Raw genomic sequence first — 22,699 nt, 5'->3', positions numbered from 1 at the left:
GCCCGGCCCTGAACAGATTTTAATGCAGACAAAAGTGCCCTATTCTTGGGGGGGAAAAAACCTGCCACAAAGGACATATTAGTAAGGAAGAGAAATGAGCACCAGAATTTAAGGCATGAAGGGATGGGCTAACTCTGTTTTGTGTAAATGCGGCCAGGTTTATGATCAGGACTGCCCTATCTTTAAACTTGCAAACCCCTAAGCTTTGAAGGGAAACAAAAAACACCAGCTGCCAGTGTTTTGATTGTACAGCAAGAAGGCCTAGATAATGAGAACACTTTTTCTGGATTGGTTCCATCTACGCTTTGTCTCTGAAGTCACAAAATACCTTGCCAGTGAGAGGCTGCCTTTCAAAGTTCTTTTGATATGGACAATGCCCCTGGCCACCCAGAACCCCAGAACTTCAGTATTGAGTTAAATACTGAAGGTGTCTAAGTGTTCTACTTGCCCTCAAACACAGTATTTCTGATTCTGCCTCTAGATCAGGGGGTCATAAGGACCTTTAAGTTTCATTATACATGGTACTTTATGGAACAGATTGTCAATGCTGTGGAAGAGAATCCCAATAGATGGAACATCATAAAAGTCCGGAAGGATTACATCATTGAAGATGCCATTGTTGTTATAGAAAAGGCCAGAGGCGGCCGGGCGTGGTGGCTCACGCCTGTAATCCCAGCACTTTGGAAGGCCGAGGTGGGCGGATCACGAGGTCAGGGGATCGAGACCATCCTGGCCAACATGGTGAAACCCCATCTCTACTAAAATACAAAAAATTAGCTAGGCATGGTGGCGCGCGTCTGTAGTCCAGCTACTTGGGAGGCTGAGGCAGGGGAATCACTTGAACCCGGGAGGTGGGGATTTCAGTGAGCCAAGATTGTGCCACTGCACTCCAGCCTGGTGACAGAACAAGACTCCGTCTCAAAAAAAGAAAAAAAAGAAAGAAAAAGCCAGAGGCCACACGCGGTGGCTCACACTTGCAATCCCAGCACTTTGGGAGGCCAAGGCAAGCAGATTGCTTGAGCTTAGAAGTTCAAGGCTAGCCAGGCACAGTGACTCACGCCTGTAATCCCAGCACTTTGGGAGGCCAAGGTGGGTGGATCACCTGAGGTTAGAGTTTGAGACCAGCCCAACCAACATGGTGAAACCCCATCTCTATTAAAAATACAAAATTAGCCAGGTGTGGGGATGCACACCTGTAATCCCAGCTACTTGGGAGGCTGAGGCAGGAGAATCACTTGAACTGGGGAGGCAGAGGTTGCAGTGAGCCGAGATCACACCATTGCATTCCAGCCTGGGCAACAAGAGTGAAACTCCATCTCAAAAAAAAACAAAGTTGAAGGCCAGCCTGGGCTATCGGGGGAATCCCCCAATATTTCAGTGTAGGTTCTTTTCTATTTTCCCTAAGTGTTGGCTGGTCTGAGAAATAAAGGGAAAGAGTACAAAAGAGATAAATTTTAAAGCTGGGTGTCCGGGGGGAGACATCACATGTCGGCAGGTTCCATGATGCCCCCTGAGCCGTAAAACCAGCAAGTTTTTATTAGCGATTTTCAAAGGGGAGGGAGTATACGAATAGGGTGTGGGTCACAGAGATCACATGCTTCAAGGGCAATAAAATATCACAAGGCAAATGGATAGGGCAAGGTCACAAGGGTAGGGCAAGGTCACAAGGCCAGGGCGAAACTAGAATTGTTGATGAAGTTCCATGTCCCGCTGTGCATGCATTGTCATTGATAAACATCTTAACAGGGTTCAAGAGCAGAGAACTGGTCTGACTAGAATTTGCCAGGCTGGAATTTCCTAATCCTAGCAAGCCTGGGGGCGCTGCAGGAGACCAGGACGTGTTTCATCCCTATCTACAACTGCATAAGGCAGACACTCCCACAGCGGCCATTTTAGAGATCCCCCTCCGTCCCCCCAGGAATGCGTTCTTTTCCCAGGGCTGTTAATTATTAATATTCCTTACTGGGGAAAGAATTCAGCGATATTGCTCTTACCTGTTTTTGGCAATAAGAGAAATATGGCTCTGTCCTGCCCAGCTCCCAGGCAGTCAGACCTAATGGTTATCTCCCTTGTTCCCTTGAACATCACTGTTATCCAGTTCTTTTTTCAAGGTGCCCAGATTTCATATTGTTCAAACACACATGCTCTACGAACAATTTGTGCAGTTAACGCAATCATCACAGGGTCCTGAGGCGACATACATCCTCAGCTTACGAAGATGACAGCATTAAGAGATTAAAGTAAGGACAGGCATAGGAAATTATGAGTATTGATTGGGGAAGTGATAAATGTCCATGAAATCTTCACAATTTATGTTCAGAGATTGCAGTAAAGACTGGCATAAGAAATTGTAAAAGTATTAATTTGGAGAACTAACAAATGTCCATGAAATCTTCACAATTTATGTTCTTCTATCACGGCTTCAGCAGGTCCCTCTGTTTGGGGTCCCTGACTTCCTGCAACACTGGGCAATATGGTGAAACCTTGATGCTACAAACAGTACAAAAATTAGCCGAGCATGGTGGCATGCATCTATGGTCCCAGCTACTTGAGAGGCTGAGGTGGGAGAATTGCTTGAGCCTGAGAGGTGGAGAATGCAGTGAGTTGAGATCACGCTACTGTACTCCAGCCTGGGTGACAGAATGAGACCCTGTCTCAAAAAATAAATAAATAAATAAATAAATAAAAGGCCTTGAAAGCCATGAAGCTGAAAACAATAAATTTCTGCTGGAGAAAACTGTGTAGAGATGTTGTATATGACTTCACAGGATTTACAACAGAGCCAATGAAGGATCATTACAGAGATTATGAATATGACCAAAAAAAGGTGGGTCATAGGATGAAGGGTTTCAAGGTATGGATTTTGGAGAAATTTAAGAGCTAGTAGACACCACACCAGAGTAATTAGCAGAAGACAACTTGATGGAGATGAATGCTTCTGAACCAGTGCCAGGCAATGAGGAATATGTAGAAGAAGCAGTGCCAGAAAACAAATTGACATTAGACAGCCTGGCAGAAGGGTTCCAGTTATTCAAGACTGTTTTTCACTTCTTTTATGTCAGGAACTATTCTGTGATACGCACACTTTAACTAAAGTAAACAGTGGAAGAAGGATTGGTACTGTATAGAAACATTTTTAGAAAAATGAGAGTGTAAAAAGTCAGACAAATTACCATGTATTTCTGTAAAGTTACATCAAGTGTGCCTGCCTCCCCTGCCTCCCCTTTCACCTCCTCCACCTCTTCCTTCTTTGCCACCCTTGAGATGGCAAGACCAACCCCTCCTGTTCCTCCTCGTCCTCAGCCTACTCAACAAGATAACAAGGATGAAGACCTTTATGATGATCCACTTCCACTTAATGAATAGTAAATATATTTTCTCTGCCTTACGATTTTCTTAACATTTTCTTTTCTTTAGCTTACTTTATTGTAAGAATACAGTATATCAGTGGTCCTTAACCTTTCTGGCACCAGTGATCGGTTTTGTGGAAGACAATTTTTCCATGTATTTGGGATGGTTTTGGGATGATTCAAGCACATTACATTTATTGTGCACTTTCTATTATTACATTGTAATATATAATGAAATAATCGTGCAACTCACCATAATGTAGAATCTGTTGGAGCCCTGAGCTTGTTTTCCTGCAACTAGATGGTCCCATGTGGGGGTGATGGGAGACAGTGATAGATCATCAGGCATTAGATTCTCATAAGGAGCACACAACCTAGATCCCTTGCATGCTTAGTTCACAATAGGGTTCATGCTCCTATGAGAATCTGATGTCACTGCTGATCTGATAGGAGGTAGAGCTCAGGCAGTGCAACGGGGAGTGGCTCTTAAGACAGAAGCTTTGCTCTTACCTGCCACTCACCTCCTCCTGTGCGGCTCGGTTCCTAAGAGGGCACAGACTGGTACCAGTCTGTGGCCCAGGTGTTGGGGACCCCTGCAGTTTATAATATAACATACAAAATATGTGTTAGTTAGCTATTTATGTTATCAGTAAGGCTTCTGGTCAATAGTAGGTTATTAGTAGTTAAGTTTTGGGGGCATCAAAAGTTATATGTGGATTTTTGACTACACAGTGGGTTGGCACCACTAACCCTTGTGTTGTTTGAGGGTCACCCGTACATCTCTGCACATGTCCTTTTGTGTATATGACCATGTTTGATAGTTTATTTAGAATATATATATACACACATATATATACGTATATACATATATATACACATATATATGTGTGTGTGTATATATATATGTGTGTATATATATATGTGTATATGTGTGTGTGTGTATATATATATATATATATATATATATATATATATATTTTTTTTTTTTTTTTTTTTTTTTTTTTTTTTTTGAGACAGGGTCTTGCTGTCACCCCGGCTGGAGTACAGTATTGTGATCATAGCTAACTACAGCCTTGACCTCCTGGGCTCAAGCCATTCTCCTGCCTCAGCTTCCCGAATAGTTGGGATTACTGGCACATGCCATCACACCTGGCTAATGTTTTTATTTTTTTGTAGATATGCAGTCTTGCTATGTTGCCAGGGCTGGTCTCGAACTCCTGGGCTCAAGCGATCCTCTCACCTCAGCCTCCCAAAGTGCTGGGATTACTGGCATGAGCCACCACCACTGCCTTGGTTAAGATCCTTTAGGGGTATAAGGTGCAAACCCACCCAATATAGCTTAAACCAGAGGCAATCCAGGGATGTCTCAGAATTTACAAATACATACAGCTAGCACCAGAAATCTAAGGCCCCAGCCTTAGATTATATCTATATGTAAAATTGCTGTAGGGTAAAATTTCTGTAGGGTAGACACCTCTTAACTTTACTAGAAATTACCAAAGTATTCTCCTGGTAGTTGTTCCAGTTTATATGCCTTACCAACAGTATATGTTGATTCTTGTGGGGCACGGTGGCTCACGCCTGTAATCCCAGCACTTTGGGAGGCCGAGGCAGGTGGATCACTTGAGGTCAGGAGTTCGAGACCAGCCCGGACAACATGGTGAAACCCCATCTCTACTAAAAATACAAAAATTAGTGGGGCTTGGTGGTGCACACCTGTAGTCCCAGCTACTTGGGAGACTGAGGCAGGAGAATTGCTTGAACCTGGGAAGTGAAGGTTGCAGTGAGCTGAGATCGTGCCACTGCACTCCAGCCTGGGCGGGCGATAGAGTAAGACTCCGTCTCAAAAACAAAACAAAACGTAAAAAACAGTATATGTTGGTTCTTAGTTATTTCTCTGCATCCTGGTCACCACTTAGCATTATCTGACTTTACATTTTTGCCATTTTGGTATGTATGAAATAGTATTTTATTGAATTTAATTTCCATTTTCCTGTCTGTTTAGTGAAGGTAATGTCTTCTTACTTTTCTATCGTAGCACCCTAGTTGTTTCTTTTATAGCACCTATCACAAGCTATTATTACAGGTGGATTTGTTTCTGTGTTTATTGTGTGCCTCCCTATGTAGAACATAATCTCTGTGAAGACTGGGATCACATTTCTCAGGTTTACTGTTTTATCCCCACAACTCAGACCAGGGTCTGGCATGGAGTGGCATTCAATAAATAGATGTTTAATGAATGAACCAGGGTCGGGAAGTGAGTCCTTTAATAAGTCTGACATTACTGTAAGAGAAATACAGAAATAGGAAGTTATTTCTTTATATTCCTCCTATCCAAACCTTATGCTTTATTTGTTATATTTTTTTGAGACAGAGTCTCACTCTGTCACCCAGGCTGGAGTGCAGTGGTGTCACAATTTCGGCTCACTGTAACCTCTGCCTCCCGGGTTCAAGCAATTCTTCTGCCTCACCCTCCTAAGTAGCTGGGATTACAGGCACCTGCCATCATGCCTGGCTAATTTTTATATTTTTGTAGAGACAGAGTTTCACTGTGCTAGACAGGCTAGTCTTGAACTCCTGACCTCAGATGATCTGCCTGCCTCGGCCTCCCAAAGTGCTGGGATTACAGGCATGAGCCACCGCGCCTGGCCTATACTTTATTTCATAGCCAGTTTCACAGTACCTGATTCTAGTCTTCATTTCTTATGTTCATTTTTGAAGGCTTTGAATAGACTTGACTAGGAGGTAGTAGTAATAGAAAATAACAGAAATATTGAGTCACACATGGTTTGATTTGGTAGGGATGGCTATCGGCTCCAGCCTAGGGCCTGTAATTTGAGATATACTGATGTCCAATTAGCTTAAGATTGTCTTCTGGTGCCCACATCAGAGAAGAAACCAAAGCTCTTATGAGGTTCATTATTAGATAGGAAATTAAACTGGAAGCCCTTTGCCTTTTTTGGGATTCTCATTGACAGAGTTAATCTTGTCTTACCTAATGTAAGACTTTGTAAGATAGATACAGGCTTCATCAACAGAAATTCGCTAGGATAGGAATGGTAATTTTTTTATTTTTGAGAAATATAAAACTTGAGCACGACTAGAATAAATCTCAGTTAACTTTTCAGTAGTCCCTTTTTTTTCCACCCAACCACTCTTAGTGCGGCATCTACTCTCAGCAGCTCGGTGCATCTTTTGTCTGCTTTATTCAGTTCCTGAGCTTTGCTCGGTGCATCTTTTGTCTGCTCTATTCGGTTCCTGAGCTTTGCTCGGTGCATCTTTTGTCTGCTCTATTCGGTTCCTGAGCTTTGCTCGGTGCATCTTTTGTCTGCTCTATTCGGTTCCTGAGCTTTGCTCGGTGCATCTTTTGTCTGCTCTATTCGGTTCCTGAGCTTTGCTCGGTGCATCTTTTGTCTGCTCTATTCGGTTCCTGAGCTTTGCTCGGTGCATCTTTTGTCTGCTCTATTGGGTTCCTGAGCTTTGCTCGGTGCATCTTTTGTCTGCTCTGTTGGGTTCCTGAGCTTTGCTCGGTGCATCTTTTGTCTGCTCTATTGGGTTCCTGAGCTTTGCTCGGTGCATCTTTTGTCTGCTCTATTGGGTTCCTGAGCTTTGCTCGGTGCATCTTTTGTCTGCTCTATTGGGTTCCTCAGCTTTGCTCGGTGCATCTTTTGTCTGCTCTATTCGGTTCCTGAGCTTTGCTCGGTGCATCTTTTGTCTGCTCTATTGGGTTCCTGAGCTTTGCTCGGTGCATCTTTTGTCTGCTCTATTTGGTTCCTGAGCTTTGCTCGGTGCATCTTTTGTCTGCTCTATTTGGTTCCTGAGCTTTGCTCTGGCTACATCTTTAACTGATTGGCTTGGTTAAGATCTTTTAGGAGTAGAGGGTACAAACTCACCCAATATAGCTTAAACCAGAGGCAGTCCAGGGATGTCTTAGAACTTAGAAGTATACACAGCTAGCACCAGAAATTAGAGTAGTGGAAATGCCTACTAAAATCTCCCAAGTTGATTCCTCTTTTCAAGAGGAGAGCCAAGCTGAAGTTAGAATCTCTTAGTTCCAATTACAGGCTGGGCGCGGTGGCTCACGTCTGTAATCTCAGCACTTTGGGAGGCGGAGGTGGGTGGATCATGAGGTCAGGAGATCGAGACCATCCTGGCTAACACAGTGAAACCCCGTCTCTACTAAAAATACAAAAAATTAGCTGGGCGTGGTGGCAGGTGCCTGTAGTCCCAGCTACTTGGGAGGCTGAGCCAGGAGAATGGCGTGAACCCAGGAGGCGGAGCTTGCAGTGAGCCGAGATCGCGCCACTGCACTCCAGCCTGGGTGACGGAGCGAGACTCTGTCTCAAAAAAAAAAAAAAAAAAAAATCTCTTAGTTCCAAGGGAAAGGTGCTGACCCAGCCTGGGCCAGATGCCTCCCTGACTCCAGTAAGCTATGGCCGTAAGTTTATGTTCCACAAACATGGTAGCCAAGATCCACCCCTGTAACGTGTGGATGACACAGAAGGACAGCTCCCAGGAAAGAAGGGATCCTAGGCAGATACACCCATAGGTGTCTGGTGAAATTATCTACTGAAATTAATTATAAATTATCTGAACATGTGTTCAGAAGCTCCAAAACCTCTGATTTTTTACCCAGCAACTTCTTCATATCTTCCATTTCCTTTTTTCCCCACAAGTCTTACCTGGCTCCTTACCCAATTTGCTGATTTCCTTTCCATAGCCAATTGCAAATGTATTCTCAACAGATCCCTGGGCTCGTAAGTGAGCTTTGGAGATAACAAGGTGTGTTTTGCTCCCTATTTATTTTTCTGGAAGAATTGGAAAGTAGGAATATTATGTATACTCTAGCATCTCTCTGGTATGCATTTATTTTATTTTATTTTATTTTTTGAGACGAAGTCTTGCTCTGTCACCAGGCTAGAATGCAGTAGCACGATCTCAGCTCACTGTAATCTCTGCCTCCCAGGTTCAAGTGATTCTCCAGCCTTAGCCTCCTGAGTAGCTGGGATTATGTGCGTGTGCCACCATGCCTGGCTGATTTTTTATTTTTAGTAAAGACAGGGTTTCATCATGTTGGCCAGGCTGATCCTCAAAGTCCTGACCTCAAGTGATCCGACCACCTAGGCCTCCCAAAGTGCTGGGATTACAGGCGTGAACCACCACGCCCAGCCACATGTAATTTATTAATGTGTCCTGCCCCAGCTCGTGGGAAACGGTGGTAAAGCAGGTATTGTGAAACTTTGGCAACCTGGGAAGTTCATTCTGCTTTTTCTGAGAACTTACATTCTCTTGTTACAGGAACATGATATAGAAACAACTCATGGTGTGGTCCACGTCACTATAAGAGGCTTACCCAAAGGAAACAGACCAGTTATACTAACATATCATGACATTGGCCTCAACCGTATGTATTTTATTTTACACCTTCCCTTCTTATCATACTTGATCTTTGTATGTTAAAAACCAAACAACAACAATATTCTAATAGAGCAGAGGTTTCCCCCTCTCTGTGGTAACTTTCCCTCCTTGTTCCTACATTCGTTAATGGTATAAAGTTCCTGGGAAGTGTGCAGGGGAATGTATTCTGGGGATACTGGAATCACATCTCGCCTTCATGTCTGCTAAAGGATTGCAGATTATACAATGCACTGCTAAGAAAGTAGAACTGAAATCCATGTTTTCAAGCCTGTACTCTGTTTTTTTTTTTTAAATATGTTTCAGGTTAGAAAATTCAGAGTTGGAACTTAACTTTGTTGTGAGCTCTTCAATGAATTAGTAAGAATTCTTGCTAGAGCCTGTCACCAGTGACTTTAAGTGGACTTTTCTAGATGGTAGTGTAAGATTCTGGCCCCAGCCATAGACACACAGAGTCTGCATACATGTGTTTTCTTTCATGCTGCTCTGGCTTTCATAGATGCCCTGCATTTGAGGCCACAGTTGAGTGTTAAAGCTTTTGTAGCTGCCTTGGCATGAGAAGTGATTTAAGCAGGTATACAAAGAGGGTAGAAGTGGAAGCAGCAGCCCCTCCCTTCACTCTGGCAATTTTGCCAAGAGACAAACTCCCGTGTGGTGAATGTGAACAGCTCAGGACATTCACGCCACCTGTGCTCTTGGGGTATAATCAGTGTCTGTTTGTGAGATAGAGGAATAATGTCCATGAGAAATGACAGCATTATGGGTGTAAGATTATTTTGTGCAATAATCGGAAACCACCAAATATTAACAAAGTAATTTCTACTTTGCAGACATTATTTAGAATTAAGAATTGTTTTCAATATGTATCTCAATATGAGATGTCTTATATTCAGCCTTTAGGGCAGCTTGAATCAGACAGATTGTTCAGACACCTCACTTTGGTGGAATGGTGGTTAAAAAGCAGGGAAAGAAGGTGATAATAGGCATTGACTGAGTAGAGGAAAATTGGGGCGATATGGAGAGCCTGTGACTTATGGGTATTTTTATTCTTATAGATAAATCCTGTTTCAATGCATTCTTTAACTTTGAGGATATGCAAGAGATCACCCAGCACTTTGCTGTCTGTCATGTGGATGCCCCAGGCCAGCAGGAAGGTGCACCCTCTTTCCCAACAGGGTAAGGCCACGAAAAGATCATCTGGGAGACGTGCACTCAGTAGAGCAACTGGCTGAGCTCCAGTGGGAGAAGTGGTGTGTGCTTCCCTTTGATTTTATTACCGTCTATAGGTTATGCTTATTGACCAACCATCCTCATATTTTCTCTCCTTGGGCTGAGAGGACTGTTATGTACAGTTTTTTGGGGGAAACTGTGTGTTTTCCCATATCCAGGAATGGCTCTCCATAGCAGGTGCCTGCTTTCCTGTAATCTCAAGGCATAAGTGTCTGGAACATCTACTCCTCACTGTCTTTATCTTTCCCTTCCTTATCTGTTTGAAAGCTGTCATTTTTTAGCGAGACGTGGTGACTCACACCTATAATCCTAGCACTTTGGGAGGCAAAGGCAGTAGGATTGCTTGAGCCCCGGGGTTCAAGACCAGCCTGGATAACATAGGAATACCTTGTCTCTACAAAAAATTGAAAAATTAGCCAGCCAGGCATGGTGGTGTTCACCTGTGGTCGTGTCTGCTTGGGAGGCTGTTGTGGGAGGATCACTTGAGCCCAGGGGATTGAGGCTGCAGTGCCTGGATGACTGAGCAAGACCCTGTCCCCAGAAAGAAAACAAACAAACAAAAAAACCTGTCATTTTTGTGTCCTTCCTCAAAACTCCCAACTACTTAGGCCCAAATTCAGATCTCTCTGAGCTTTCCTGGGAGCATCTCCCCATCCTTAGCTCTCAAACTAGTAATGGAAATTTGACTATCTGTGTAACTGTTTATTCTGAGAGGCTGTCCTGGCAGATAGAGGTGTGGGGTGATTGATTGGCTTTGGCACTCTCAGCTTCCTCCTACATCTGCTTCGCAGGGCAGAGTCATAGGCTCCCTACCTGTTTGTTCCCTGGACGGGTGCTTATTGAGAAGACCTTAGGAGGAGTGAGCACACACTCTGTGGAATGCTAATTCTTCCCCTATCCTTTCACTCATCTCCAGAGCTGCCTTTGGCCAGTGACTGCTGGGAAATAGACAATTGCAGACAAATAATAGCTAATATTTAAATAGTACTCAAACCGTGTTCCAGACCCTGCTTTAAATGCTTTACATTTGTTAACTCATTTACTCCTCACAACCCTATGGGATAAGTTTACTATTATTCCCATTTTATAAGTGAGGAAACTGAGGCCCAGAAAAATTAAGTAACATGGCTAACATTACATAACAAATAAGTGGCAGAGCTAAGATTTGAACCCAGACAGTCTGGTGCCAGAATCTGACTCTAAAATGCAAATTGGCCAGTGGTCAGTTTATATCCAACAAGATTTGTATCCAGTTCCTTTTTTCTATTTTGTGGACAAATGGTTCCACAGCACACCATCCCCTTAAGTGTTCAGGCAGAGGCAGGCTGACTTCCCTGTCAGATGTAGAACAGATCCTGCCTCATATATAAGTGGTCATCTTAGGATCAATTCCATCTCCAATTCTGTAATACTTTTTCTTTCTTTCTTGAGATAGGATAGTGCTTTGTTTCCCAGGCTGGAGTACAGTGGCGTGATCATGGCTTACTGCAGCCTCAACCTCCTGGGCTCAAGTGATCCTCCCATCTCAGCCTCCCTACTAGCTGGGACTACAAGTGTGTGCCAACACGCCTGGCTAATTATTGTTATTTTCTGTAGAGACAGGGTTTTGCCCTGTTGCTCAGGCTGGTCTCGAACTCCTGGGCTTGAGCAATCTGGTTGCCTCAGCCTCTGAAAGTGTTGGGATTACAGGCGTGAGCCAACGCTCCCAGTCGGATGCTTACTACTTTTCTAGGAATTCTGATCTGGGTCTGTTCCTGGGCCTGCTCGAACATCTTAGGATCAGATGGTTCATATTATGAACCAAATTCAAATACAATAAAATAACCATGCCAGACACAGTGGCTCACACCTGTAGTTCTAGCACTTTGTTAGGCTGAGGTAGGAGGATCACCTGAGGCCAGGAATTCAAGACCAGCCCTGGCAACATAGCGAGACTCCATCTCTACAAAAAATTGAAAAATTAGCCAGGCATGGTGGCATGCGCCTGTAGTCCCAGCTACTCAGAAGCCTGAGGCAGGAGGATAGCTTGAGCCCAGGAGTTCAAGGTTACAGTGAGCTATGATTTCACTACTGCACTCCAGCCTGGGTGACAGAGTGAGACCATGTCTCTTAAAAAATTAATAATAATAATAATAATAATAATAAAATTTTAAAAATAACTATGTTATTCTATGCCTAAGTGAAACAAATAAGCATTCATGCTAAGGGTTTGTAACTGTGTGCCCATACCTAGAAAAGCTTTATTTTTGCATTTAGTTGCCTAAATATAGCAGTAGACCAAGACCCCCTTTCTGAGTTGACTCTTACTGCCGGAGGTTTACTGAGCCTGGACTCCAACTGAAGAGATTGTTAGAGGTTTGGAAATACCCTAAGAGAGAACCATGTTACTAGTTCTTTTCATGTGGCACCCTCTGGTCCCAAGGGCTGCTTGTTAGGATATAGAAACCGTGGATTATTTTACTTTCTCCTTAGCATGGCAGTTGTAGAGAGTTACACAATATGCCACAATCATTTTCAGGGTACCACATCACCTCCTTTGAGCCTTTGGTAAAAGGAAATGCTTTTATCTAAGATTTTTTTTTTTTTTTGAGGCGGAGTTTTGCTCTTGTTGCCCAGGCTGGAGTGCAATGGCATGATCTCCGCTCACGGCAGCCTCCGCCTCTCAGGTTCAAGCAATTCTCCTGCCTCAGCCTCCCAAGTTTCTGGGATTACAGGCATGTGCTACCACACCCAGCTAATTTTGTATTTTTAGTAGAGATGAGGTTTCTCCATGTTGGTCAGGCTGGTCTCGAACTCCCAACCTCAGGTGATCTGCCCACCTCGGTGTCCCAAAGTGCTGGGATTATAGGCATGAGCTACTGCGCTCAGCCTTTTATCTAAGACTTCTGGACCTTTCCAGCTGTTCTAGCAACTGGGAATTGTGAGTGCTTTCTAATTCAGGAGATATCCTTCTGGATTGCAGGTATCAGTACCCCACAATGGATGAGCTGGCTGAAATGCTGCCTCCTGTTCTTACCCACCTAAGGTAGGTTCATTCTGCAGTCTTTCATGCAGTTTTTATTGACTTTCTATGGTGAATTATTTAGTGTCTGTTTCAGAGGATATGATGGTTAGGAAAAATATTATCACTGTCCTCCTAGAGCTTAGTGGGGTAACAAGTAAGCAAACAAATAATAAAGTTCTATAAAATAAGTCAGTGGGGGTGTTGTGATAGAGAATAAGGGTGGGATCTACATTAGTAAGGCAAGTTAGGGAATTCCTCTCTAGGAAGGTGGCACACACGCTGAGACCTAGAAGATTTAAAAATCTACCTTGAGCTGGGCCAAGTGGCAGGAAGATCACTTAACAACAGCAGTTCAAGGCTACAGTGAGTTGTGATCCCACCCCTGCACTCCAGCCTGAGTAACAGTGAGACACCCTGTATCTAAAAAATAAAAATAAAGCTGTTTAAATTTTTTTAAAAACGTTCATCTCACTGAGAAGAGAATGGTTTGGAGAAGAATCAGAGAGAGAAAGCAGGGAGAACAGTTAAACTATTAACAATAGTCCAGGCAAGAGATAATGATAGCATGGTACTGGATGCTGCTGTTGGGGGATGATTGAAGTAGATAGTAGTAGGTAGATGGATATATTCTGGAGATAGACTCCACTGACTTGCTGATGGGTTGGATACTGACAGCTACCAAGGATAACTCCCAGGTTTCAGTTATATATATTTTTATATGTGTGTGTGTGTGTGTGTGTGTACATATATGTGTGTGTATATATATATGTATATATACATATATATACATATATTTATTTATTTATTTATTTGTTTTGAGATGGAGTTTCACTCCATCACCCAGGCTAGAGTGTAGTGGTGCGATCGCAGCTCACTGCAGCCTCTGCCTCCTGGGTTCAAACGATTTTCCTGCCTCAGCTTCCCATTTAGCTGGGATTACAGGCACAGGCCACCATGCCTGGCTAATTTTTTTTGTATTTTTAGTAGAGACGGGGTTTCATGATGTTGGCCAGGCTGACCTCGAACTCCTCACCTTCAATGATCCACCTGCCTTGGCCTCTCAAAGTCCTGGGATCATAGGCGTGAGCCACTGCCCCCGGTCTCAGTTATATTTTATTTAACCATTAAAACCAACTTGAAAGTAGTTGGTGGGATCCTTGTTTTTTTTGGTTTTGTTTTTTGTTTTTTTTGAGACAGAGTCTCACTCTGTCACCTAGGCTGGAGTGCAGTGGCGCATTCTCGGCTCACTGCAAGCTCCACCTCCCGGGTTCATGCCATTCTCCTGCCTCAGCCTCCCGAGCAGCTGGGACTACAGGTGCCCGCCACCATGTCTGGTTAATTTTTTTTGTATTTTTAGTAGAGACGGGGTTTCACCGTGTTAGCCAGGATGGTCTCGATCTCCTGACTTCGTGATCCGCTCGCCTCGGCCTCCCAAAGTGCTGGGATTACAGGCGTGAGCCACCGTGCCCAGCCTTTGTTTTTTTTTTTAACAGGCGCACGCCACCATGCCCGGCTAATTTTTTGTATTTTAGTAGAGACGGGGTTTCACCATGTTGGCCAGGATGGTCTTGATCTGCTGACCTCGTGATCCGCCGACCTCGTGATCCGCCTGCCTCGGCCTCCCAAAGTGCTAAGATTACAGGCGTAAGCCACTGCGCCCAGCTGAGATCCTTGTTTTATAAATAAGGAACTGAGGCTCAGAAAGTTAGGGGAAAGAAAAAAAACACTTGCCCAAATTCTCACATCTAATAAATATCAGAGCCAGGATTTCAACCCAGGTTGTATGCTTTCAATTATGCAATGCTGCCTGCAAATGAAGTTGACTCTGTCAGTTGTCGTTATGTCCCATTCACAGCCTGAAAAGCATCATTGGAATTGGAGTTGGAGCTGGAGCTTACATCCTCAGCAGATTTGCAGTAAGTATGTAGAGGATTAGCCTCAACATCCTTGAGGCAGTGCCTGGGTCACAGCTATTACTGCTGTGTTAAATGACCAGGCAGTATTCTGGGCCTTATGTCAGTTTTTCTGTAACTTCTGTCAGCTTTAGATACAGGTTGTATAAAGCCTAGCTTTGTACTTAACAATACCTGAAAAATCACAAATGGGGACAGTACATCATCAATAAAAAGCAAGTCCTAGATGCTGCTTATAATGGAATTTTGTGCGGCCATTAAAATTAAGTTTACGAAAAGCTTTATAATGATACATGGTTTGCATACATTATAATGTTAACCAAAAAGTTAGAATATAGATTGACATAAAGTTTGTCATAGCCATAGGAAAGGACTGGAAGAAAATGTACCAAAAAATATTAATGGATTGATATGTGGTAAGATAATGTGAAATTTTTATTTTCTGCTTTTTATAATTTCTCTGCTTATCAAATTTTCTATCGTGAATATAATCACTGTAGTCAGAGAAAAAAAGTAAGCCAGGGACCAGGCACGGTGGCTCACGCCTGTGATCCTAGCACTTTGGGAGGCCGACACGGGTGGATCACCTGAGGTCAGGAGTTCGAGACCAGCCTGGCCAACATGGTGAAACCCCGTCTCCACTAAAAATACAAAAATTAGCTGGGCGTGGTGGTAGGTGCCTGTAATCCCAGCTACTCAGGAGGCTGAGGCAGGAGAATTGCATGAATCCTAGAGGCCGAGATTGTAGTGAGCCGAGATAGCATCACTGCACCAGCCTGGGCAACAAGAGCGAAACTCTGTCTCAAAAAGAAAATTAAATTAAATTAAATTAAATAAGCTAGAGAGCTAGAGCTCCTATTATAAATTTTTTTTTTTTTTTTTTTTGAGATGAAGTCTTGCTGTGTCGCCCAGGCTGGAGTGCAGTGGTGCAATCTCGGCTCACTGCAACCTCCGCCTCCTGGGTTTAAGTGATTCTCCTGCCTCAGCCTCCTGAGTAGCTGGGATTACAGGCGCCCACTACCACACCCAGCTAATTTTTGCATTTTTAGTAGACATGGGGTTTCGCCATGTTGGTCAGGCTGGTCTCTAACTCCTGACCTCGTGATCCACCCTCCTCAGCCTCCCAAAGTGCGGAGATTACAGGCGTGAGCCACCGTGCCCGGCCAGACATTATTATCATTATTTTTTTTTAATACGTCCTCAGTGATAGGAGAGTCTTCTGAGGATGATACAGACTGTTCAGATGGTTTCAGAAAAAAAAACTTCAGAAGCCTCTGTTGAGAACAAAGATATATGAGCATGGAGCAGCTGCTTGTGCCAAGCGCACTTTCCCAATGAGGAAGATCCACCATGAATTGAACAACTGCATATAGATCTTTGCAAGACAAGATAATTTGATAGTAAAATAAGTAATTTGATAGCAAAACCAGAAACTGGTTTCCATATGCTAAGTCAGATTTCAAGAGCTATTTTTCCACATGTTCTCCCTCTTTGTAGTCTTACTTTCAAATGTGAGGCATTAAGGCATGTAAGTAAGAATTGATCAACCATGTTCCAACTGTTTAGAAGAACTGTGGGAGTGTAGCTTTCATACTATTGTCTTTGCCTCATCTTTCAGCTCAACCATCCAGAGCTTGTGGAAGGCCTTGTGCTCATTAATGTTGACCCTTGCGCTAAAGGCTGGATTGACTGGGCAGCTTCCAAAGTAAGTACCACATGAAGGTGTCCATCGGCTTATCTTGGCCCATCTCAAAACAGCTTACCAGTTTTTCATTGAGGTATATATACAGTTAAGGGTAAAAATGTTAAGTATATAGCTTGAAGAATGTTTACATATAAAATCACCATCCAATCAAGATATAGAATATTCCCAGCTCACTAGGGGATTCCGTTGTATCTTTTCCTAATTGATACTTCCTCTCCTTCCCAGAAATTACCTGTTCTGACTGTTGTTACCAGAGATAAGTTTTATCTGTTTTTAAACAGTTTTATCTGTTAAATTGGAATCATAGAAACTGTATTTTTTTTTTTTTTTTGAGATGGAGTCTCACTCTGTTGCCCAGGCTGGAGTGCAGTGGCATGATCTTGGCTCACTGCAACCTCCACCTCCCGGTTCAAGCAATTCTCTGCCTCAGCCTCCCGAGTGGCTGGGATTACAGGTGCCCACCACCATGCCCGGCTAATTTTTTTGTATTTTTAGGAGAGACCAGGTTTCACCATCTTGACCAGGCTGGTCTTGAACTCCTGACCTTGTGATCCACCCGCCTCGGCCTCCCAAACTGCTGGGATTACAGGCGTGAGCCACCGCACCCAGCCTGTCTGGTTTCTTTTCTTTCATCACGGTGTCTGTGAAACTCATCCAAGTTGTATGTAGCAGTAGTTCTAAATTACAGTTTGGACTGGGCACGGTGGCTCATGCCTGTAATCCCAGCACTTTGGGAGGCAGAGGCGGGAAGATCACCTGAGGTCGGGAGTTTGAGACCAGCCTGACCAACATGGAGAAACCCCATCTCTACTAAAAATACAAAATTAGTCGGGTGTGGTGGTGCATGCCTGTAATCCCAGCTACTCGGGAGGCTGAGGCAGGAGAATCACTTGAACCTGGGAGGCAGAGGTTGCAGTGAGCTAAGATCGTGCCATTGCACTCCAGTCTGGGCAACAAGAGCAAAACTCCATCTGAAAAAAATAAAAATAAATAAATAAATAAATTACAATTTGGCCAGGCGCGGTGGCTCACGCCTGTAATTCCAGCACTTTGGGAGGTCAAGGTGGGCAGATCACCTGAGGTCAGGAGTTCAAGACCAGCCTGGCCAACATGGCGAAACTCCGTCTCTACTAAAAATACAAAAATTAGCCGGGCGTGGTGGTGGGTGCCTGTAATCCCAGCTACTCGGGGGGCTGAGACAGGATAATCACTTGAACCTGGGAGGTGGAGATTCCAGTGAGCTGAGATCACACCATTGCGCTCCAGCCTGGGTGACAAGAGTGAAACTCTGTCTCAAAAAAAAAAAAAAAATTGCAATTTAACAGGAGTTCTAAACGGTTCTTTAGTAACCTATTGTGTGAATACACAGAACGAGTTGTTTCTGTTATTTGGATCTTATGAGTAAAGCTGCTGTGCATATTCCTTATGTCTTTCAGTAGACATACACATTTATTTCTCTTGGGTTTATACCTAGGAGTGAAATTGCTATGTCATAGGGCATTTGTATGTTTAGCTTTAGTAGATATAATCAAACAGTTTTCCAAAGTATTTGACCAAGGCCAGGCATGGTAGCTCACGCCTGTAATGCCAATACTTTGGGAGGCCGAGGTGGGAGGATCACTTGAGGTCAGGAGTTCAAGACTAGCCAGGCCAACATGGCAAAACCCTGTCTCTACTAAAAATACGAAAATTAGCTGGGGTGTGGGGCATGATGGTACACATCTGTAATCCCAGCTACTCAGGAGGCTGAGGCAGGAGAATTGCTTGAACCCAGGAGGTGGAGGTTGCGGTGAGCCAAGATCGTGCCACTGCACGCCAGCCTGGGCAACAGAGTGAGACTCTCTCTCAAAGAAAACAAAAATAAAAATAAAGTAAATGAAAATGTCTTCAAAGTATTTAACCATTTACACAACAGCAGTGCGTGAAAGTTTCAGTTGCTCCACATCACCAACATTTGATATTATAAGTACTTTTAATTTTAGTAAAAGACAAGCAGTTTTATTTGTGATATTAGTTTGTTTTTATGTTTTCCATTACCAAAATAGCTTTAGTCATTAAAATAAGAATTTTTAATTACATCATCTTTTAAATGTTAAGCTATGCTTATAGATAGATAATCCTGTTGTTGTTTGTTTGAGACGGAGTCTCGCTCTTGTCGCCCAGGCTGGAGTGCAGTGGCATGATCTTGGCTCACTGCAACCTCTGCCTCCCAGGTTTAAGCAACTCTCAGCCTCAGCCTCCCGAGTAGCTGGGATCACAGGTGCCTGCCACCATGCCTGGCTCATTTTTGTATTTTCAGTAAAGACAGTGTTTCACCATCTTGGCCAGGCTGGTCTTGAACTCCTGACCTCGTGATCCACCCACCTCAGCCTCCCGAAGTGCTGGGATTACAGGTGTGAGCTACCGCACCCGGCCAATCCTGGGTTTTAATTTGCATCTCCCTAAGGGGCAGTGATGTCAAGCATCTTTTCTTGAATATCCTCTTGTGAAGTGTTTGTTCAACTCTTTTGCCCTCACCCTCATTCCCCTCCCCACTTTAAAAAATATTCTGTATGTGCGTCCTGGGTACATGTATCTCAAATAGCTTCTCCTAGTCTATAGTTTGCATTTTCTTATTCTTACTGAATGAAATGAATGAATCACTCCACAGTGAACCCCAGCACTTTATCTGTGCTACTCCTTCCAACGACATGTGGATTGCTGGTGTTTGCTAACTCAAAAAGGAAGGAATTTAACCTCTAAAATCCATTCAAGGAGATAGGAAACTAAAGGGAATGCTAATGACTTTACAAATATAAGCACTCCCAGTCCCAGTCCCAAACCAGAGTAAAAAATGGGTGATTCTGTTGGGAGAGGACATTTTTTTAAAACAGAAAAGTGGGAATAAGGAAAAAATTATATCCCTTGTGTTATGGGATCTCTGGGGTGTTGATTTGTCTAGCCAGAAACTTCTGTGGCCACAGCACCTTTGCCTGAGTTCCTGTCCTGCATCCAGGAAGAGTGAGGTACACAGACAAGTGAAGGGTGAAGAAGAGTTTTATTTAGTGTTAGAACAGCTCAGAGGAATGGGTAGCTCCTCTCTGTAGGCAGGTCGTCCAGTCGAGTGTTCAGCTCTTTGCCGACAGGAGGCCCTGGAGAAGGTGGTTCCTTTCCACAGGCGAGTCATTCCGACTTCTCTGCAGGTCTCTGAAGCTCTCAGCAGAGAGAGTAGCCCTTCTCTGCCAGCAGGTTGTCCCTGAAGCGCTCAGTGGAGAGTGTATTCCTCTCTGCAGCTGGTTGTCCAGTGTCTCTACCTTCTTTGTCCTCTGGCCATCCTCTACCCTGCGCTGGCTGAGCCCAAGGCTTTTATGGACCTCAGAAGGGAGGAAGTGCATGCTGATTGGCCCATGGGCGGCCATGGGCAGGCCGGGAAGAGGTGCCACAAGTCCTGACTGGTCTGGGCGACTGGCAATCCAGCCCGTAGCCTTCAGGGCCTCCCTGGCCTGAGGGTGGGGCCTTACTGGGAACCCTGCCCCCTTCTGCCCAGGACTCTGCCTGCGTCCCGCTCCATTCATGGCCCCGGGGCTTGGAGGGGCCCTTCCTGGGGCGCCCAAGGGTGCAGGCTGCAGAGATGCCCCAGTCCTACGCCTGGGAGGGCGGCTGCAGCTGCACCTGGGAGCTCCCAGCCCGCCAGCTGGGAAGGGGCCCGGCTCCCGCTTGTCCCCAGCTCCTGCTCGCTTCCCGGAGCCAGAGGCCCAGGTCTGCAGCCACAGGCGCAGCGGCTGCAGCTGTACCTGGGAAGGCAAATCCTGCCTGTTCCCAGTTCCCCCAAGAGCACAGGGAGGCTGAGATCCACAGCTGCAGTTTGGGCGGCTGTAGCCCTGCCCAGGAGGGCGGGGATCCTGCTTGCTCCATAGAGCAGGAGGCCTGGGTCTGCGGCTCTGGTCCCAACCCGGAAGGGGCGGGGCTTCCGCCAGCTCCATGGCGTGTGCAGCCCCAGCCACACAGCGTGATGGCAGCAGCCACTGCCATCACTTGCATTCAACTCACCTATGCTAAAAATAATTCACTGTTAGGCCAGGCACGTGGCTTACGCCCATTATCCCAGCACTTTGGGAGGCGGAGGTGAGTGGATCACCTGAGGTCAGGAGTTCAAGACCAGTCTGGCCAACATGGCGAAACCCCGTTTCTACTAAAAATAAAAACATTAGCCAGGCCTGGTGGTGTATGCCTGTAATCCCAGCTACTCGGGAGGCTGAGGCAGGAGAATTGCTTGAACCCAGGAGGCAGAGGTTGCAGTGAGCCAAGATCGTGCCATTGCACTCCAGCTTGGGTGATGAGCAAAACTCCGTCTCAAAAAAACAAAACAAAACAAAAAACAAACAAACAAAAACACTTTTTAGGTTAGAAAAAGTTTTGAACCATTTTCTTGATGAAGTACAAATGTTATGTGTATGTTATTTTAATCTAAAACTATGGTATTTTATAATAAATCACTGATTTCCAGAGAGAAAATTAAGGTTTTATTTCCTGCTAAAAGATGCCTAATCTGTTAATCTCATTTTATTATTTATTTATGTATGTATTTATTTTTTTTTGAGACGGATCTCGCTGTGTCGCCCAGGCAGGAGTGCAGTGGCACTATCTCGGCTCACTGCAAGCTCCGCCTCCCGGGTTCACGCCATTCTCCCACCTCAGCCTCCCAAGTAGCTGGGACTACAGGCGCCCGCCACCAAGCCCGGCTAATTTTTTGTATTTATAGTAGAGACGGGGTTTCACCGTGTTCGCCAGGATGGTCTCGATCTCCTGACCTCATGATCCGCCCGCCTCAGCCTCCCAAAGTGCTGGGATTACAGGCGTGAGCCACCGCGCCCAGCCGTTAATCTCATTTTAAACAAATGCTTACTTCTCAGTACTTTTACATTGCCGTAAATGTTCTAATACACCATTGCAGGATAAAGTCTCCAAAATACCACCACCCAACTTGTCAAATGTATCAAGAGTCTTTATTGGCTGGGCACGGTGGTTTATAAACCTCTGTAATCTCAGCACTTTGAGAGGCTGAGGCAGGAGGATCGCTTGAGCCCACGAGTTAGAGACCAGCCTGGGCAACATAGTGAGACCCCATCTCTACAAAAAATTTTAAAAGTAGGCCAGGTGCAGTAGCTTACACCTGTAATCCCAGCACTTTGGGAGGCCGAGGTGGGCATATCACCTGAAGTCGGGAGTTCGAGACCAGCCTGACCAACATGGAGAAACCCCGTCTCTACTAAAAATACAAAATGTGCCAGGCATGGTGGCGCATGCCTATAATCCCAGCTACTCGGGAGGCTGAGGCAGGAGAATCACTTGAACCCGGGAGGTGGAGGTTGCAGTGAGTCGAGATCGTGCCATTGCACTCCAGCCTGGGCAACAAGAGCAAAACTCCATCCCCCCCACCCCCCAAAAAAAAACAACTTAAAAAGTAGCCCGTTGCGGGCCAGGTGAGGTGGCTCATGCCTGTAATCTCCGCACTTTGGGAGGCAGAGGCAGATGGATCACCTGAGGTCAGGAGTTCAAGACCACCCTGGCCAACGTGGCAAAACCCCGTCTCTACTAAAAATACAAAAATTACCCGGGCCTGGTGGCACATGTCTGTAATCCCAGCTACTTGGGAAGCTAAGGCAAGAGAATCGCTTGAACCTGGGAGGTGGAGGTTGTAGTGAGTCAAGATCATGCCACTGCATTCTAGCCTGGGCAACAGACGAGACTGTCTCAAAAAAAAAAAAAAAAAAAAATGCCAGTTGTGGTGGCACACGTCTGTGGTTCCAGCTACTCGGTAAGCTGAGGTGGGAAGAATACTTGAACCCAGCAGGTCGAGGCTGTAGTGAGCCATGATCACACCACTGGACTCCAGACTAGGTGACAGAGACCCTGTCTCAAAAAAAAAAAAAAAAAAAAAAAAAAAAAATCTGGCTGGGCATGGTGGCTCATGCCTGTAGTCCTAGCACTTTGGGAGGCCAAGACAGGAGGATCGCTTGAGGCCAGGAGTTTAAGACCAGCCTGGTCAACAGAACAAGACTTTGTGTCAACAAAAATTTAAAAGGTGGTACACGCTTGTAGT

General features: G+C 44.8%; 1 protein-coding gene across 12 annotated transcripts in view, besides 2 other annotated features; it reads left to right on the top strand.

The window, feature by feature from the left end:
* Positions 1–22,699, top strand: part of NDRG3 (NDRG family member 3) — a 94,320-nt gene that overhangs the window by 48,658 nt on the left and 22,963 nt on the right. For 8 of the 12 annotated variants that reach the window (NM_022477.4, XM_011528927.4, NM_032013.4 and 5 more), the window contains 5 exons: positions 8,649–8,754; positions 9,821–9,941; positions 12,958–13,020; positions 14,855–14,915; positions 16,531–16,617. In NM_022477.4, coding sequence (NP_071922.2) covers positions 8,649–8,754; positions 9,821–9,941; positions 12,958–13,020; positions 14,855–14,915; positions 16,531–16,617 — 438 coding nt within the window. Of the gene's footprint in view, positions 1–651; positions 742–8,648; positions 8,755–9,820; positions 9,942–12,957; positions 13,021–14,854; positions 14,916–16,530; positions 16,618–22,699 lie in introns of those variants that run through there. The other 4 variants (XM_011528926.3, XM_011528925.4, NR_038370.2 and 1 more) reach the window with 2 other exon arrangements.
* Positions 419–919: an enhancer, noted in NCBI's record as "H3K27ac hESC enhancer chr20:35324917-35325417 (GRCh37/hg19 assembly coordinates)". NCBI's record gives its function as "activates a minimal SCP1, AML or CMV promoter by ChIP-STARR-seq in primed H9 embryonic stem cells {active_cell/tissue: H9 hESC(primed)}" and the evidence as "EXISTENCE:reporter gene assay evidence [ECO:0000049][PMID:30033119]".
* Positions 20,026–20,827: an enhancer, noted in NCBI's record as "H3K27ac hESC enhancer chr20:35305009-35305810 (GRCh37/hg19 assembly coordinates)". NCBI's record gives its function as "activates a minimal SCP1, AML or CMV promoter by ChIP-STARR-seq in naive H9 embryonic stem cells {active_cell/tissue: H9 hESC(naive)}" and the evidence as "EXISTENCE:reporter gene assay evidence [ECO:0000049][PMID:30033119]".

This window comes from Homo sapiens, chromosome 20 (assembly GCF_000001405.40).
Source record: "Homo sapiens chromosome 20, GRCh38.p14 Primary Assembly".
Lineage (NCBI taxonomy): Eukaryota > Metazoa > Chordata > Mammalia > Primates > Hominidae > Homo > Homo sapiens.
The sequence above is the reverse complement of the archived record's forward strand: the minus strand, read 5'-3'. Positions and strand labels throughout refer to the sequence as shown.